The 15,967-nt window shown below is 41.8% G+C and overlaps 1 protein-coding gene across 2 annotated transcripts in view, besides 1 other annotated feature; it reads left to right on the top strand.

The window, feature by feature from the left end:
- BAG4 (BAG cochaperone 4) overlaps window positions 1-15,967 on the top strand; it is a 36,447-nt gene that overhangs the window by 590 nt on the left and 19,890 nt on the right. The window contains exon 2 of one of the 2 annotated variants that reach the window (NM_004874.4): window positions 15,244-15,351. The exons of the other annotated variant lie outside the window; for it this stretch is intronic. Coding sequence (NP_004865.1) covers window positions 15,244-15,351 — 108 coding nt within the window. The remainder of the gene's footprint in view (window positions 1-15,243; window positions 15,352-15,967) is intronic. 2 annotated transcript variants of the gene reach the window in all.
- Window positions 14-353: an enhancer, noted in NCBI's record as "active region_27245". NCBI's record gives its function as "activates an Ori minimal core promoter by ATAC-STARR-seq in GM12878 lymphoblastoid cells {active_cell/tissue: GM12878}" and the evidence as "EXISTENCE:reporter gene assay evidence [ECO:0000049][PMID:35858748]".

Consider the following 15,967-nt stretch of genomic DNA (forward strand, 5'->3'; position numbering starts at 1 on the left):
GCACGGATCTACTGCTCCAGCTCTAGCAATTTATCCTGCGTGGCTGGCAGGCCGGCTCTCCCGGGGAAGGGAAGTGGCTGCAGCCCCCGATGCCGCTCAGGGACCCTCCCGAGGGGAAGGAACCTTTGCGAGGAGGAGGGATCTGGGCATTTAGCTGTTTGCCCCTAATGCCTTGCCTGAGATCGAATCATGAATAATCAGTGTTGTAAAGTACCTTTACGCGGATTGACTGATTTAATTTTCACGGCGACTGCAAGGTAAAATGGCATTACAGCGGCCCTTTTTTTTGTTTTCGAATAAGGAACCGGGGCTCTGCGAGGTTAACTCACTTGCCTAATACACTTGGACCTGCAACATTTTATTCTCCGTTTTCCTGCCGGACATATACTTCTGCTTTGTTAATACAGTCTTCTGGGTAGTGGGTTGTCGTTCTGCGGTGGCAGCATACCTCTCTGTTCGTTCAAGAATTATCCTCATTTGTTGAAAATGTAATAGTGAAATTCTCGTACATTGCTGGTGGGGATGTAAAATGGTGGAAAATAGTTTGGTAGTTCCTCAAAACATTAAGCATTAGAATTAGTCTATGACCCAGCAAGCCCACTCCTGGCTATATACCCAAGAAAACTGATAACGTATGTTCACATAAAGCTTGTCCGCCCATGTTCATAGCATCATTATTCATAATCGCCAAAAAGTAGAAATGTCGTTTTTTTTGTTTTTTTTTTTTTTGAGTTGGAGTCTCGCTCTGTTGCCCAGGCTGGAGTGCAGTGGTGCCATCTCGGCTCACTGCAACCTCCGCCTCCCGGTTTAAGCGATTCTCCTGCCTCAGCCTCTCGAGTAGCTAGGATTACAGGCGCCGGCCATCACACCCGGCTAATTTTTGTATTTTTAGTACAGACGGGGTTTCGCCATGTTGGCCAGGATGGTCTTGAACTCCTGACCTCAAGTGATCCCCCTTTCCCCTGCCCCTCGGCCTCCCGAAGTGTTGGGATTACAGGCGTGAGCCACTGCGCTCGGCCCCAAATGTCATTTTATTATTTGAGTTATAAAGTGAGTGAACCTCTTGGAGCCCTGGTTCTTTATTCGAATACAGGAATGTTGTAAGGACATAACGACTGATGCATCGATAAACAAAATATGGTGTTAATATATTCATTCAATGGAGTATTATTTGGCCTTAGAAAGGAATGAACTGCTGATGCATGCTACAATATGAATGAACCTTGAAAACATCACACTACGTGAGCTAAGTCAGTCAGAAAGACTGCATATTGTGTGATTCCATTTATATGAAATGGCCAGAGTAGGTAAATCTAGAGACAGAAAGCTTAATGGTTGCCAGAGGTTGGGGGACTGGCGGTGTAGGTGAGAATATTCTTTTTGGGATAATGAAATGTTCTAAAATCAGGGCCTGGTGAGATGGCTCACACCTGTAATCCCAGCACTTTGAGTTGCCGAGGCTGGAGGATTGCTTGAGTCCAGGAGTTCGAGACCAGCCTGGGCAACATAGTAAGACCTTGTCTCTAAAAATAAAAAAATAAAAAACAAAAAATAAGAAATGTTCTAAAATCAGTGGTGATGGTTGCACAACTCTGAATATACTAAAAACTACTGAATTGTACATTTTAAAAGGGTAGAGTTTATAGTATGTTGATTATATCACAGTGTAAACAATTGTATGAGAAAAACATGGAGCAGTGATAAATTATTTTTTATTTTTATTTTTTATTTTTGGGACACAGTCTTGCTCTGTCGCCCAGGCTGGAATGCAGTGGCGCAATCTCAGCTCACTGCAACCTCTGCCTCCCGGGGTCAAAGTCTCCTGCTTCAGCCTTCCTAGTAGCTGGGATTACAGGCGCCTGCCACCATGCCCAACTAAATTTTGTATTTTAAGTAGAGACGGGGTTTTGTCGTGTGGGCCAGGTTGGTCTTGAACTCCTGATCTCAGGGTATCCTCCTGCCTCGGCCTCCAAAAGTGCTGGGATTACAGGTGTGAGCCACAGTGCCCGGCCAAGATTAATTATAAATTAAAGAAAGATCCAGCTGGGTGTGGTGACATGCCTGTAATCCCAGCACTTTGGGAGTCCAAGGAAGGCGGATCACCTGAGGTCAGGAGTTCGAGACCAGCCTGGCCCACATGGCAAAACCCCGTCTCTACTAAAAATACAAAAATTAGCTGGGCATGGTGGCGGGCGCCTGTAATCCCAGCTATTCGAGAGGCTGAGGCAGGAGAATCGCTTGAACCCAGGAGGCGGAGGTTGCAGTGAGCTGAGATCACACCATTCCACTCTAGCCTGGGAGACAAGAGCGAAACTCCATCTCAAAAAAAAAAATAAAGAAAGAAAGATCCATATTTTCTCAGCCTAAATCTGGAATACATAGGTCATGGGACTATAGAATGGTGAAATGCTTGGCCAAATTAGACCAAAAATCAGTTGAAGTGGGGAAAGAGGAGAGGACCTCTAAACTGATGACTGACTTTTGCTGGGCCTGCTGTATTATCAAAACCAAAGTCTGTTTTCTGGCATAGAGTTAGGGAGGGTTGGATAGACTAAAGAAGTTAAGATTTTAGCATTGTGTAAGGGGTTGTCAGGTGTGGTTTGAGTACATTTGTGCCCACAGGGTGGGTGATGGTGCTGAAGTAGTTGGAGATAAAGGTGGAAATGTGTAATGGGCATTTGTAAACCATTTTAATAGTTTGTACTATCTTTCAGATTGATGATTCTGAAACTTTAAAAGTATAGGATGGTAATTTTTCTGCAGCAATAGAAAACTCATACCAAAGATATGTATGTTGGCCGGGCGTGGTGGCTCACGCCTGTAAACCCAGCACTTTGGGAGGCTGAGGCAGGTGGATCACCTGAGGTCAGGAGTTCGAGACCAGCCTGGTCAACATGGCGAAACCCCACCTCCACTAAAAACACAAAAATTAGCCAGGCATGGTGGCGCATGCCTGTAATCCCAGCTACTAGGGGCACTGAGGCAGGAGGATCATTTGAACCCGGGAGGCAGAAGTTGCAGTGAGCCGAGATCATGCCACTGCACCCCAGCCTGGGCAGCAAAGCGAGACTCCGTCTCAAAAAAAAAAAAAAAAAAAAAAAAAAGATATGCATGTTGTCACAGATGTTGCAATGTTTTTTCCAGATTTGTTATTTTGACTTTTTTTTATGTTTTGCATTTTTATAGTATACATCTGTCAAATTAAAAAAACAAACAGTATAGGAACCTTTTATAACCTTGCTACTCAAAAAGTGTGGTCCATGGACTAGAAGCCTCGGTGTCACTTGTGAGGTTGATAGAAATGCAAAATCTCTCCTCTTCCAGACTTACTGCTGCAATTTATTAAGATCCCCAGGTGATTCATATGCACATTAATATTTCAGAAGCATTGCTCTATAGAACTGATTATATTTAGATGATGTACTGAACTACAACACAGACTTGACTATATTAACACATTTAAGTATGGCAGGGAAAAAATTAGAAATCTATCACTATTTTTTTTTTTTTTTTTGAGACCGAGTTTCACTCTGTTACCCAGGCTGGAGTGCGGTGGCCTGATCTCGGCTCACCGCAAGCTCCGCCTCTTGGGTTCACGCCCTTCTCCTGCCTCAGCCTCCCGAGTAGCTGGGATTACAGGCACCCGCCACCACGCCCGGCCAATTTTTTTGTATTTTTAGTAGAGACGGAGTTTCACCGTGTCAGCCAGGATGGTATCGATCTCCTGACCTCGTGATCCGCCCGCCTTGGCTGGGATTACAGGCGTGAGCCACCGCGCCCAGCCTTTTTTTTTTTAAATTTTTTTTTGAGACGGAGTTTTGCTCTTTTTGCCCAGGCTGGAGCGCAATGGCGCCATCTTGGCTCACTGCAACCTCCACCTCCCAGGTTCAAGCGATTTACTGCCTCAGGCTCCCAAGTAGCTGGGATTACAGGCACCCGCCACCATGCCCGACTACTTTTGTATTTTTGGTACCCGGCCACTCCCTATGTTTTTTTAGAGTAAAACTTTAGGCTGGGTGCGGTGTCTCACGCCTGTAATCCCAGCACTTTGGGAGGCTGAGGCAGGCAGATCATCTGAGGTCAGGAGTTTGAGACCAGCCTGGCCAACGTGGTGAAACCCCGTCTCTACTAAAAATACAAAAATTAGCCAGGTGTGGTGGCTCACACCTGTAATCCCAGCTACTTGGGAGGCTGAGGCAGGAGAACCACTTGAACCTGGGAGATGGAGGTTGTAGTGAGCCGAGATCACACCACTGCACTCCAGCCTGGGCAACAGAGCAAGACCTTGTCCCAGAAAAAGAAAAACAAAAATTAGCCGGGCGTGGTGGCGGGCGCCTGTAATTGCAGCTAGTCTGAGAATTGCTCAAACCAGGGAGGCGGTGGTCGCAGTGACCGAGATCATGCCACGAACTCCAGCCTGGGCTGCCTAGCGAGACTATCTCAAAAAAAAAAAAAAAAAAAAAAAAAAAAAAGGAAGTAAGGGAAAAGAGTTAGAGTTGAGAAACCTTTTGAGCTAAAGGGAGAAAAGTAACAAGTTTGGAGTTGGAGCAGAGGGGCATTGACAGCTATTGGTCTCCTTTCGTGGTGGAGTAGGAAGCTAGGTCATCTTACAGTAAGGGAAGTAGAATGGGATGCTCTGCAAAATTTATGTGGTAAATGTTTGAACCAGATGCTGGGGCAAGAGGGACAACACAGAGAAGCATTTGGAAGAGATCCAAATGAGTTTGAAAAGTTAAAAAATTATGATGGTCAGTATAGGAGCATAAGGTGATTTGTTAGTGATTATGAACCATATAGCTATACAAATAACTTATGTACTTTACTAATAATTTTTGTCCAATTCTTATGAAAAATATAAGCAAATCTGTAAATGGAATTTATGTAGTACGAGTGCTACTGATTCCTCTGCTGTTAGATTTGCTTGGACTGGGGTTTCAGTTTGGGGGAATGTTGGTAAGTCATTTTGGAAAATGTAATCACATATCCACTTTAAAGGAATTGACTCCAGTCTTCAGCTGGGATTATTTATTTCTCAGAAGAAAGGAAATAAATTAGTTATCTTGCATAATTTTAATCAAATTTTCTTTGGCATAGAACTTTAATTCACATTATTGTGGCTTGTGAAAACATTTTATTACCTTTGTTTTAGTTTGTATTTCATTCAACAAATAAAAAGTTTGGAAAGAGTTAGGCACATGATAAAATTGGTAACTTAGTTTATAGAATAGAGTTCAGCTTCAGCCAGTTTCCTGTGAAACCAAATGCTATTTCATAGAATTAGTGTCATGTTGGGAGGGCCATGAGCTACAGACTTTCACTGTTACTAGGGATATTTTTAGATTTGTCCCATTTTGTCCAAAAGGAGGAAAAAAAAGACAAAGACATTATTTTTTTCCTTAAGACAATAAAATTATACTTTTTAGTGCTTCATTGAGGACATTCTTTTTTTCATTAAAAAAATTATGGCATAATTTACAAAAAGTAAATTTCACTGTCTTTAGGGTATAGTTCTGTGAGTTTTGATAAATACATACAATTACATAACCACCACCACCACCACCACCACAACTGAGCTATACATACTGACCCATCTTTTTTTTTTTTTTTTTTTTTTTTTTTAGACAGAGTCTCTCTTTGTCGCCCAGGCTGGAGTGCAGTGGCGAAATCTCGGCTCACTGCAAGCTCCGCCTCCCGGGTTCATGCCATTCTCCCACTTCAGCCTCCTGAGTAGCTGGGACCACAGGCGTCCGCCAGCAGGCCTGGCTAATTTTTTTTTGTATTTTTAGTAGAGATGGGGTTTCACCATGTTAGCCAGGATGGTCTCGATCTCCTGACCTTGTGATCCACCTGCCTCAGCCTCCCACAGTTCTGGGATTACAGGCATGAGCCACTGTGCCTGGCCACCTTTAAGCTTTTGCAAGTGTAATCAACCAGGTAAGGGTGGTAAGGGCTATTTCCCAGAACTTCTCCTGCCGACTCAAAAGTTAGATTCTTCTGAGTAAAACAGGCTCTTCACTGTTTTCAAGGTTATTCCAGTTTCCCTGTATTCTTCTATTTAATCTCAGCTGCCACAATCAGACAGACGGAAAGCATAAGGACACTTTTTTCCTTGCATCTGTACTGGAAACCTTAGCAGCAGATAGCAGTCATTCTTTTTGATGCTTAAATGATACCATATTATGTCAATGGGAGTCCCTTTTTCTTGGCTTCTGATTCCTTTGGACATAATCTATTGATTTTTTTTTTCTTTTTCTTTTTGTGGAGAACAGGTTCTCACTGTATTCCCCAGGGAGGTCTCAAACTCCTGGGCTCAAGCTATCCTCCCGCCTCTGCCTCCCTAAGTGCTGGGATTACAGGCGTGAGCTACCGTGCCTGGCATGACCCATTGATTTTTGATAGCTTCCTTGATTTCTGGTACAACAAGATGTCTCAGGCTTTGTATATATTTTGTCCCAAGACACATAATCAGCCATTCCTTAAGAACTTGATTGTATTTTTCTCCCAAGTGGAGAATTACATTTAGAAACCGTTAAGTCAGGATCTGAGCAGGAAAACAGAAACCACACTAGTTAGAATTTGATTTAGGAAATTAGCTAAACAGGTTATTGGAGTTATGAAAAGGGAAAAAGAGAACACAGAAGTAACAGAAAATAGTAAGTGGAGGAAGCAGCTACAATTCCTGGGGCTGGGGAATAAAGGGAAGAGGTTGGAGTGATTATAGCCAGGAAACTTGGAAGAATGGCCGGGCGCAGTGGCTCACGCTTGTAATCCTAGCACTTTGGGAGGCTGAGGCAGGTGGATTGCTTGAGCCCAGGAGTTCAAGACCAGCCTGGGCAACATGGCAAAATCCTGTCTCTACAAAAAATACAAAAATTAGCCAAATGTGGTGGTGGGCCCCTGTATTCCTAGCTACTCAGGAGGCTGAGGTGGGAGGATCACCTGAGCCCAGGTGGCCGAGGGTGTGGTGAGCTGTGATTGTGCCACTGCACTCCAGTCTGGGTGACGGAGTGAGACCCTGTCTCAAATAAAATAAAATAAAATAAAATAAAATAAAATAAAAATATAAAAAGAACCTGGAAACTTGGAAGAGTGGCCAGGAGGTGGCGCCTCCTACCTGGTGCAGATACCTCTGAGGACGTTCGGGTCGGAGAGTGTTGTTGACTGACTGCTGCGTACAGGTTGAATGGCATTGCGGTGTTGACACTGACAGAAACAGCAGACAGGAAGAAGCAAGTCCACTGTCTCCTCCTCTAGCCTAGCATAGTGTGTTGGCAGAACCAGAAAGCAAGCAAGCTGGGGAGGGAGAAAGGTTTGTAGACTTCCAGCCTTACATCACAGAGCCAAGTATAGAATGCTGTGCTTGCGGCCGGGCGCAGTGGCTCACGCCTATAATCCCAGCGCTTTGGGAGGCTGAGGTGGGCAGATCACGAGGTCAGGAGATCGAGACCATCCTGGCCAACATGGTGAAACCCTGTCTCTACTAAAAATACAAAAATTAGCTGGGCGTTGTGGCGCATGCCTGTAATCCCAGCTACTCGGGAGGCTGAGGCGGGAGAATGGTTTGAACCTGGGAGGTGGAGATTGCATTGAGCCGAGATCGCACCACTGCATTCCAGCCAGGGCAACAAGAGTGAGACTCTGTCTCAAAAAAAAAAAAAAAAATAGAATGCTGTGTTTGGACCTGAGGGGCAAGGGGCAATACCTTAATACTTGGTACAGAAATTACAGTTGGGTGCCTGGCATATATACTAATTGTTATTGTGTTGTCATTGTGTCTAGACCTTTCCAAAGGGCAGAATTATAAAATAAGTATTTTAAAATAGAAAAATAAATGAGTTCATATTTATATTAATTCAAATTTAACATTATAGGAATTTTAACTTCTTTGTATATTTTATATGAAAAAAATCTTGATTCCTAACTTAATTACAAATATTTGCACAATCTAACAATAATGTATAAAATAAGTTCAAAATAATGCCAGGTTCCAGTTCTGGCATGACAGCATGAAGAATTCTGTGGACCTAGTCCCCAGTGAAACTGGTGAACATTAATTTTAAAAAACAACAAATTACAGTTTCTGGAAATGGTCCTAGGGAATATAGCAAATGAAGAAACACCTTTTTTTTTAGACAGAGTCTCGCTCTGTCACCCAGGCTGGAGTACAATGGCGCCATCTTGGCGATCTCGGCTTACTGCAACCTCCACCTCCCAGGTTCAAGCGATTCTCTTGCCTCAGCCTCCTGAGTGGCTGGGGTTTCAGGTATGTGTCACCACACCCAGCTAATTTTTGTATTTTTAGTAGAGACAGGGTTTCACCATGTTGGTCAGGTTGGTCTTGAACTCCTGACCTCGTGATCCACCTGCCTTGGCCTCCCAGAGTTCTGGGATTATAGGTGTGAGCCACCGCGCCTGGCCATGAAGAAACACTTGTTCAAGAAAATCTACAAAAGTCAGTAAGAACATTGGGTCTGTGGTATTTGAACTAAAAGCTCCTCCATCCCTCCTTTTTTGCAGCTAGTGAGATAGAAACTTTACTCTAGAGGGTGTAGCCAAGAACACAGGGCTCCAGCTCCATGTATTCCACCTCATAGCCTCAGTCAGAAGGTTTTCATCCTAGGAGGAGGAGTAGCGTACCAACATTTCTCATTTTGCCTCAGATGCCTGTCACTGAGGCAAAATTCTAGGTAATTGTGGCTGAGTGGTGGTGGTTCCTTTCTTTCACCCAGTCCCTACTCCTAGGATGGAGACTTGACCTTGGGCAAGGCACTGCTGAAAATACTGGGGCTCTGATCTCCTTTACCCTTGCTTTTCAAGCCGAGAAGCCCTAAGTCTACAGCCTCCCTTCCCGTGGGTACTCCACTTCGTAAAGCAGGGATGCCATTCAGATAAACACACCATTGTCCCCACTCTAGCTGTAGAGAGTGGCTCAGATGTTTTATCTGGAAGCAGAAGTAGGCTGTAAAACAGGTAGCTCCTAATCTTTTCCTAAAGGAACAAAGTATGGAGAAGCTCAGGAGTGTGGAGAAAGTCAAAAAAACTGCGGAGGTTGTTGTGCAAAGCAATAGGGAAGAGACTGGTTAGATTCACTGGAGATGCAGGATAAACTAGTAGGCCAGCTAGTTTGCTGGAGAGAACCAGGAAAAGAAGAAGCTAGGAGGAGCCCTTTGGTATCAGAACAACTCTCAAACACTGACCTTGGGAACTAACTGTCCCTTTAGAGGGACCCAAATTTGATCTACTCAGTCTGTGGAGCAATTTATGCCTCAGGGTGTTATTAAAACCAGTAGAGCAATCAGCTGGAAATTAGTGAAGCTTTAACAACTAGATGTGGTCAAGGAAAGATACACTCAAAGAAAGTCTTACAAAAATCTTTGTCATCCAGGATGACTGTGGGCATACCCAAGGCTGTGCCTTCTAATGAGCAATATCACATACTTCATACTTGAAGTTTGAGGGCAAACAGACTTTGCAAAAATAATCCAGCTGGTTACTAAACAAATGAGCAAATGACAATAACAAGCCTAAGGTGGAAAAGGTGGGACCAGTAGTACTCAGAGTTGCTAAAATGTCTAGTTTCCAACAAAGAATTATGAGCTATGCAAAGACACAGGAAAGTATGACCCATACACTGGAAAAAAAGCAGGTAACAGAAACTGATTGTGAAAGTGACCAGATGTCACATTTAATAGACAAAGACTTCAAAGTAGCCATTATATATGTTCAAATAACTAAAAAACTATGATTAAAGAAGCAAAGAAAGGTGTGTGATAATGTCATGTCAAATAGGGAATATCAATAAAGAGATAGCAATTATATATTAAAAAAGAAACAAATAGAAATTCTGGAGTTGAAAAGTACAGTAACTAAAATGAAAAATTAACTAGAGGAGTTCAATAGGCTAGAACTGACAGAAGAAAGAATTCATGAATTTGAAGATAGATCAATACAGATTATGCAATATGAAGGAGAGAAAAAAGACTGATGTGTTGGAGAAGTGTCAGACACCATTGAACACACCAGCATATCAGAAATGATTAATAACAAGGTTAATATAACAAAAGATGCAAATATGCTCTTTTCTTCTCAGATTCTTTAAAAGACATTATATAAAGTAATAAGTATAACAATATAATGTTGAGTTTGTAACATTTGTAGACATAATGTGGATTACAATAAAATCACAAAAAAGGGGAAAAGGAACAGACTTATATAGGAATAGCATTCCTGTATCTCACTGGAATTAAGTTGGTATAAATCAGAAGCTGATTCTGATGAGAAGCATATTGTTAGCCCAGCTGGGTGCTGTGGCTCACGCCTGTAATCCCAGCAATTTGGGAGGCCAAGGTGGGCAGATCACAAGGTCAGGAGATCGAGACCATTCTGGCTAACATGGTGAAACCTTGTCTGTACTAAAAATACAAAAAAAAAAAAAAAAAAAAATTAGCCGGGCGTGGTGGCGGGCGCCTGTAGTCCCAGCTACTTGGGAGGCTGAGGCAGGAGAATGGCATGAACCCGGGAGGCGGAGCTTGCAGTGAGCCGAGATCGTGCCACTGCACTCCAGCCTGGGTGATAGAGTGAGACTCCGTCTCAAAAAAAAAAAAAAAAAAAAAAGGAAGAAGAAGAAGTGTATTGTTAGCCCAAGAGTAACTGCTAAAGAAAAAAAAAGTATAATCATTAAGTTATAATGCTACATTTGAAAATATTCACTTAATGCAAAAGAAAGCAGTAAAGGTGGAATAAAGGACAAAAACACATGAGACATATAAAAAACAAAAAGTAAAAATAAAACATGTAAATCCAGCTATATCAATAATATTAAATGTGCATGGATTAAGCAATCTAGTCAGAAGACAGACTGGATTAAAAAAAAAACAAGATCCAATTATATGGTGTCTAAAGGTGGCACACTTAAGGTTTAAAGATACAAATAGTTTGAAAGTAAATGGATGGAAAAAGAAATATAATGCAATAAAGAAAAGATAAATGTTTGAGGTGTCAGATATGCCAGTTACCCTGTTTTGATCATTACACTTTATATACATGTATCAAAATATCACATGTATCCCAAAAATATGTACTACTTTTATTAATTAAAAATTACATATATGCACATATAAATACATATATATACGTGTATACACATATATATATGCATGTATACATATATATACATGTACACATATATATACATATATACATGTATACATATATACATGTATACATATACATGTATACATATATACATGTATACATATATATGTATATATATATAAAAATATGCAAAAGGCAACTATGAGAAAGCTGGAGTGGCTACTTTAATATCAGCTTTTTATTTACTTTTTATTTATTTATTTGTTTATCTTTGAGATGGAGCCTTGCTCTGTCACCCAGGCTGGAGTGCAGTGGCACGATCTTGGCTCACTGCAACCTCCGCCTCCCAGGTTCAAGCAATTTTCCTGCCTCAACCTCCCAAGTAGCTAGGACTACGGGTGTGTGCCACCATGCCCGGCTAATTTTTTTTTTTTTTTTGAGATGGAGTCTCACCCTGTTGCCCAGGCTGGAGTGCAGTGGTGCAATCTCAGTTCACTACACCTCTGCTTCCTGGGTTCAAGCAATTCTCGTGCCTCAGCCTCCTGAGTAGCTGCCCGCCACCACACCCAGCTCATTTTTGTATTTTATTAGAGACGAGGTTTCACCATGTGGGCCCGGCCGGTCTTGAACTCCTGACCTCAAGTGACCCACCCACCTCGGCCTCCCAAAGTGTTGGGATTACAGACGTAAGCCACCATGCCAGGCCTGAATTATATACTTTAAATAGGTGAATTGGATGGTAGTGAGTAAAACTTGAAAATAAGAATACCAGTTTTATGAGTAACAACTAATGGATGCAGTTTCGGTTTCTTTGCAGTTCAGCTTGTCCTTAGAGAATAAATTCCACTGAGGACGTACAGTCAAAATAACGTGAGCTAAAAGTCATTTGAAGTAATTCTTTTTTCTCTGTGGTTATGTTACCAACTTGATTGTTAGTTATTGCATTAATTGACTTTTCCTATACTGAAACAACAATTCCAGAATTTTAGTAGCTTATAATGATAAACATTTATTTCTTGCTCAGGTTCTGTGAGTCCACTCTAGTGGTTCTTCTCTAGGCCCCAGGTTCAGTTCAGGTCTACCTGTGTGTCTTCTCATCCTGGGACTTCAGTTGAAAACACAGCTCCCATATAAGATAATGTAGGTCTTGTGGAGGGCATGGGAACACAAGAGGGTTGCTAGAATTTGCAGCGACTCCTAAATCCTTTGTGTGGACTGGCACACTGTCACTTTTATCCATATTTGTTTGTTTTGCATAAAAGGTTAAATTACGTTTTGTTGTTGTTGTTGTTGTTTTGAGACGGAGTCTCCCTCTGTTGCCCAGGCTGGAGTGCAGTGGCGTGATCTAGGCTTGCTGCAAGCTCCGCCTCCCAGGTAGCTGGGACTACAGGCGCCCGCCACCACACCTGGCTAATTTTTTGTATTTTTAGTAGAGATGGGGTTTCACCGTGTTAGCTAGGATGGTCTCTATCTCCTGACCTCGTGATCCACCTGCCTTGGCCTCCCAAAGTGCTGGGATTACAGGTGTGAGCCGCTGCACCCAGCCAAATTATGTTTTTTACTTATGTGAGTTTGTAATGACACCACCACATTCACTATCCCCCAGTTCTTCCTCATTTTGCCCCATTCCATATTTTATCTTTCCTTGTCCTCGTGACAATATCGGTTCCCAATAACACTACTGTATGTATTTATTCTATTCTACAATACACACAATATAGTTTAAAAATTAAGATAGTAATATCACTACTAATAACATTATATGAAGAGTTTAAGATATTTTTAAATTTCTTTTGCTTTTAGAAAGGTACCACTAAAGATGTCCATTCAGAAAACTGTTCAAGAATTATTTGAATTATATTCTGTGTGTGGTTATCAAGTCAGTAGGTTTTTTCTTTTTAAAGATGGGGTCTTACTCTGTTGCCCAGGCTGGAGTGCAGTAGCACAATCATAGATCATAGCTCACCATAACCTTGAATTTCTGGACTTTGCCTCTGCCTCTCACCTCTCAGCCTCCTGAGTAGCTGGGACTATAGGCACCCATCATCACGCCCACCTGACATTTTTTTTTTTTTTTTTGGGTAAAGACTGAGTCTCATTATTTTCCAGGCTGGTCTTGAACTCCTGGTCTCTGGCCCCAAGCAATCCTCTTGCCTCAGCTACCCAAAGTGCTGGGATTACAGATTGAGCCACTGCGCCCAGCCCAAGTTGGTGGGTTGTCTTTTTTTTTTTTTTTGAGACGGAGTCTCTGCTCTGTGGCCCAGGCTGGAGTGCAGTGGCATGATCTCTGCTCACTGCAACTTCTGTCTCCTGGGTTCAAGCTATTCTCGTGCCTCAGCTTCCTGAGTAGCTGAGATTACAGGCACCCACCACCACACCCAGCTAATTTTTGTATTTTTAGTAGAGACGGGGTTTCACCGTGTTGGCCAGGCTGGTCTCGAACTCCTGACCTCAGGTGATCCACCCGCGTCAGGCCTCCCAAAGTGGTGGGATTACAGGCGTGAGCCACTGTGCCTGGCCAAGTTGGTGGTTTTTTAAAGAAGATAAAATACAGTTTGAATTCATACTGATATTTACAATTCAAATTAAGGATTATAAGGTTTTAAGTTTCATTATTCTTATATCTGTGTCTCCTATCTCCCATTGTGAAAATACTGATTCCCAACAATACCAATGTAAGTATTCATTTGCAACTATAATACCCGCATAACAGTACCAAGATAACAAACAGTACCAACAGTGTTGATAATTATGATTACTGAAAAAAATTCAAAGTATTACTGAAAACAAAGTATTATGAAATGGATAAGTAGTGCAGTTAAGCTAATAGTGATAATCTCTCAGTTATTTCAGCTGCCAATGAATTTCTTTGTGAAATCATATTCAAAGTTTTAGAAAAAATGTCGAAGGTCCTGTTCAAGCTTAAAACTATACTTGGGCGGGCACAGTGTGGCTCACGCCTGTAATTCCAGCACTTTGGGAAGCCAAGCCGGGTGGATCTCCTGAGGTCAGGAGTTCAAGACCAGCCTGGCCAAAATAGTGAAACCCGGTCTCTACTAAAAGTACAAAAAATTAGCTGGGCGTGGTGGCAGGTGCCTGTAATCCCAGCTATTCAGGAGGCTGAGGCAGGAAAATTGCTTGAACTTGGGAAGCGGAGGTTGCAGTGAGCCGAGATCGTGCCATTGCACTCCAGCCTGGGCAACAAGAGCGAAACTCTGTCTCAAAAAAAAAAAAAAAAAAAAAACCCTAAATCTATACAGTTGAAAGCAAAATAACTCATAGGATAATAAATGTATGTAATAAACCAGATAATAGGTGCTCTGAGAAGTTTTGAGTATATTTAGTCTTTTATCAAAGTTTATTGGCTTATTGCAAATCATGCGTTAACTTTCTGAGTTGGAGAGAAAGGCTGATGAAATTATTGTCGTAGCTAGATTTTCTCTTTGGATTGGTAAATGTTCTGCATCAATGCCTGACACTGAGGCTGCCAGCGGAAAGCTTAGCCATAGCACAGAGTAGAATATGAAAAACTAGGGTGTGTCAAGGCAAAGAAGTTGGAGATTGAAGATGTATGTGCTTGAGCGAAACTCTAGTAGTAATGTCTTTGTGTTCCAAAGTTATTGGTAAATATAACAGTAGCAAAGAACCATTTTGTTGCACTAATTAAATTAGTAGTCTTGAGGATTAGTTATTGGAGAAGGATAGAGGTGATCTAATGTCTCTGATTTTGCTAATCATCTTGATGTAGTAGAATTCCTTTATATAGCATTTGGTGTGGTGGCATTGTCGAAACAGATAAGAACAGCTTTTTACTAGGTAATAATTGTTTTGTCATAGAGCATTTGATTTACCATGTACTGAATAATTAGCAGTTTTATAGTTGGGGTCCTATTCCCTTTTTTCTTTTATTTTTTGTTTTTAAGAGACGGGGTCTCTCTTGACCATACTAGACTCAATCACCTGAGCTCAAGCGATCCACCCACCTCAGCCTCCGCAGTAGTGGGACAAGAAGCGTGTGCCACTGTGCCCAGCTTATTGCTTTTTGTCTATTGCTTTTTTTTTTAATCCTTATAACCTGCCTCTATCAATCTATCTTAAAATGATGTATGAATGTTATTAAGAGTGAATTTATTTTTCTTTTTTTCTTAGGAGCAGCCACCATATCCTAGCTACAATTCTAACTATTGGAATTCTACTGCGAGATCTAGGGCTCCTTACCCAAGTACATATCCTGTAAGACCAGAATTGCAAGGCCAGGTATGGTTTAAAAACAGAGACTTTCTGAACTTTTTCTTAATGAATAGATTTATTTTCAAAACCTGTGCAGATTTTAGAGCAGTGATGAGTGTGTGTTTTTTTTCTTTGCTTTAATGGGCTCCATCAATCTCATCTTAATGTTTTTAGCTCAGAGATAAGGAAATATCTAGGCAAATATACCTATAGCTTGAGGCATAATAAATTATTTTCCAGGACCCAGAAGGAACAAACATAAAATATACTTATTTTTGAAAACTTTACTGATTACAGACATTTAATTTAAAATATTTTAAAATTATAAAAAGTACAGAAAATATATACATTTTAAATCTAGCATGCAGGGCTGGGTGCAGTGGCTCACAGCTGTAATCCCAGCACTTTGGGAGACCAAGGCAGGCAGATCACCTGAGGTTAGGAGTTCAAGACCAGCCTGGCCAACATGGTGAAACTCCATCTCTACTAAAAATACAAAAATTAGCTGGGTGTGGTGGTGGGCGCCTGTACTCCCAGCTACTCGGGAGGCTGAGGCAGGAGAACCGCCTGAACCCAGGAGGCGGAGGTTGCAGTGAGCTGAGATCACACCATTACACTCCAGCCTGGGCGACGAGTGAGACTC

The sequence above is a fragment of the Homo sapiens genome, chromosome 8, assembly GCF_000001405.40.
Source record: "Homo sapiens chromosome 8, GRCh38.p14 Primary Assembly".
Classification (NCBI taxonomy): domain Eukaryota; kingdom Metazoa; phylum Chordata; class Mammalia; order Primates; family Hominidae; genus Homo; species Homo sapiens.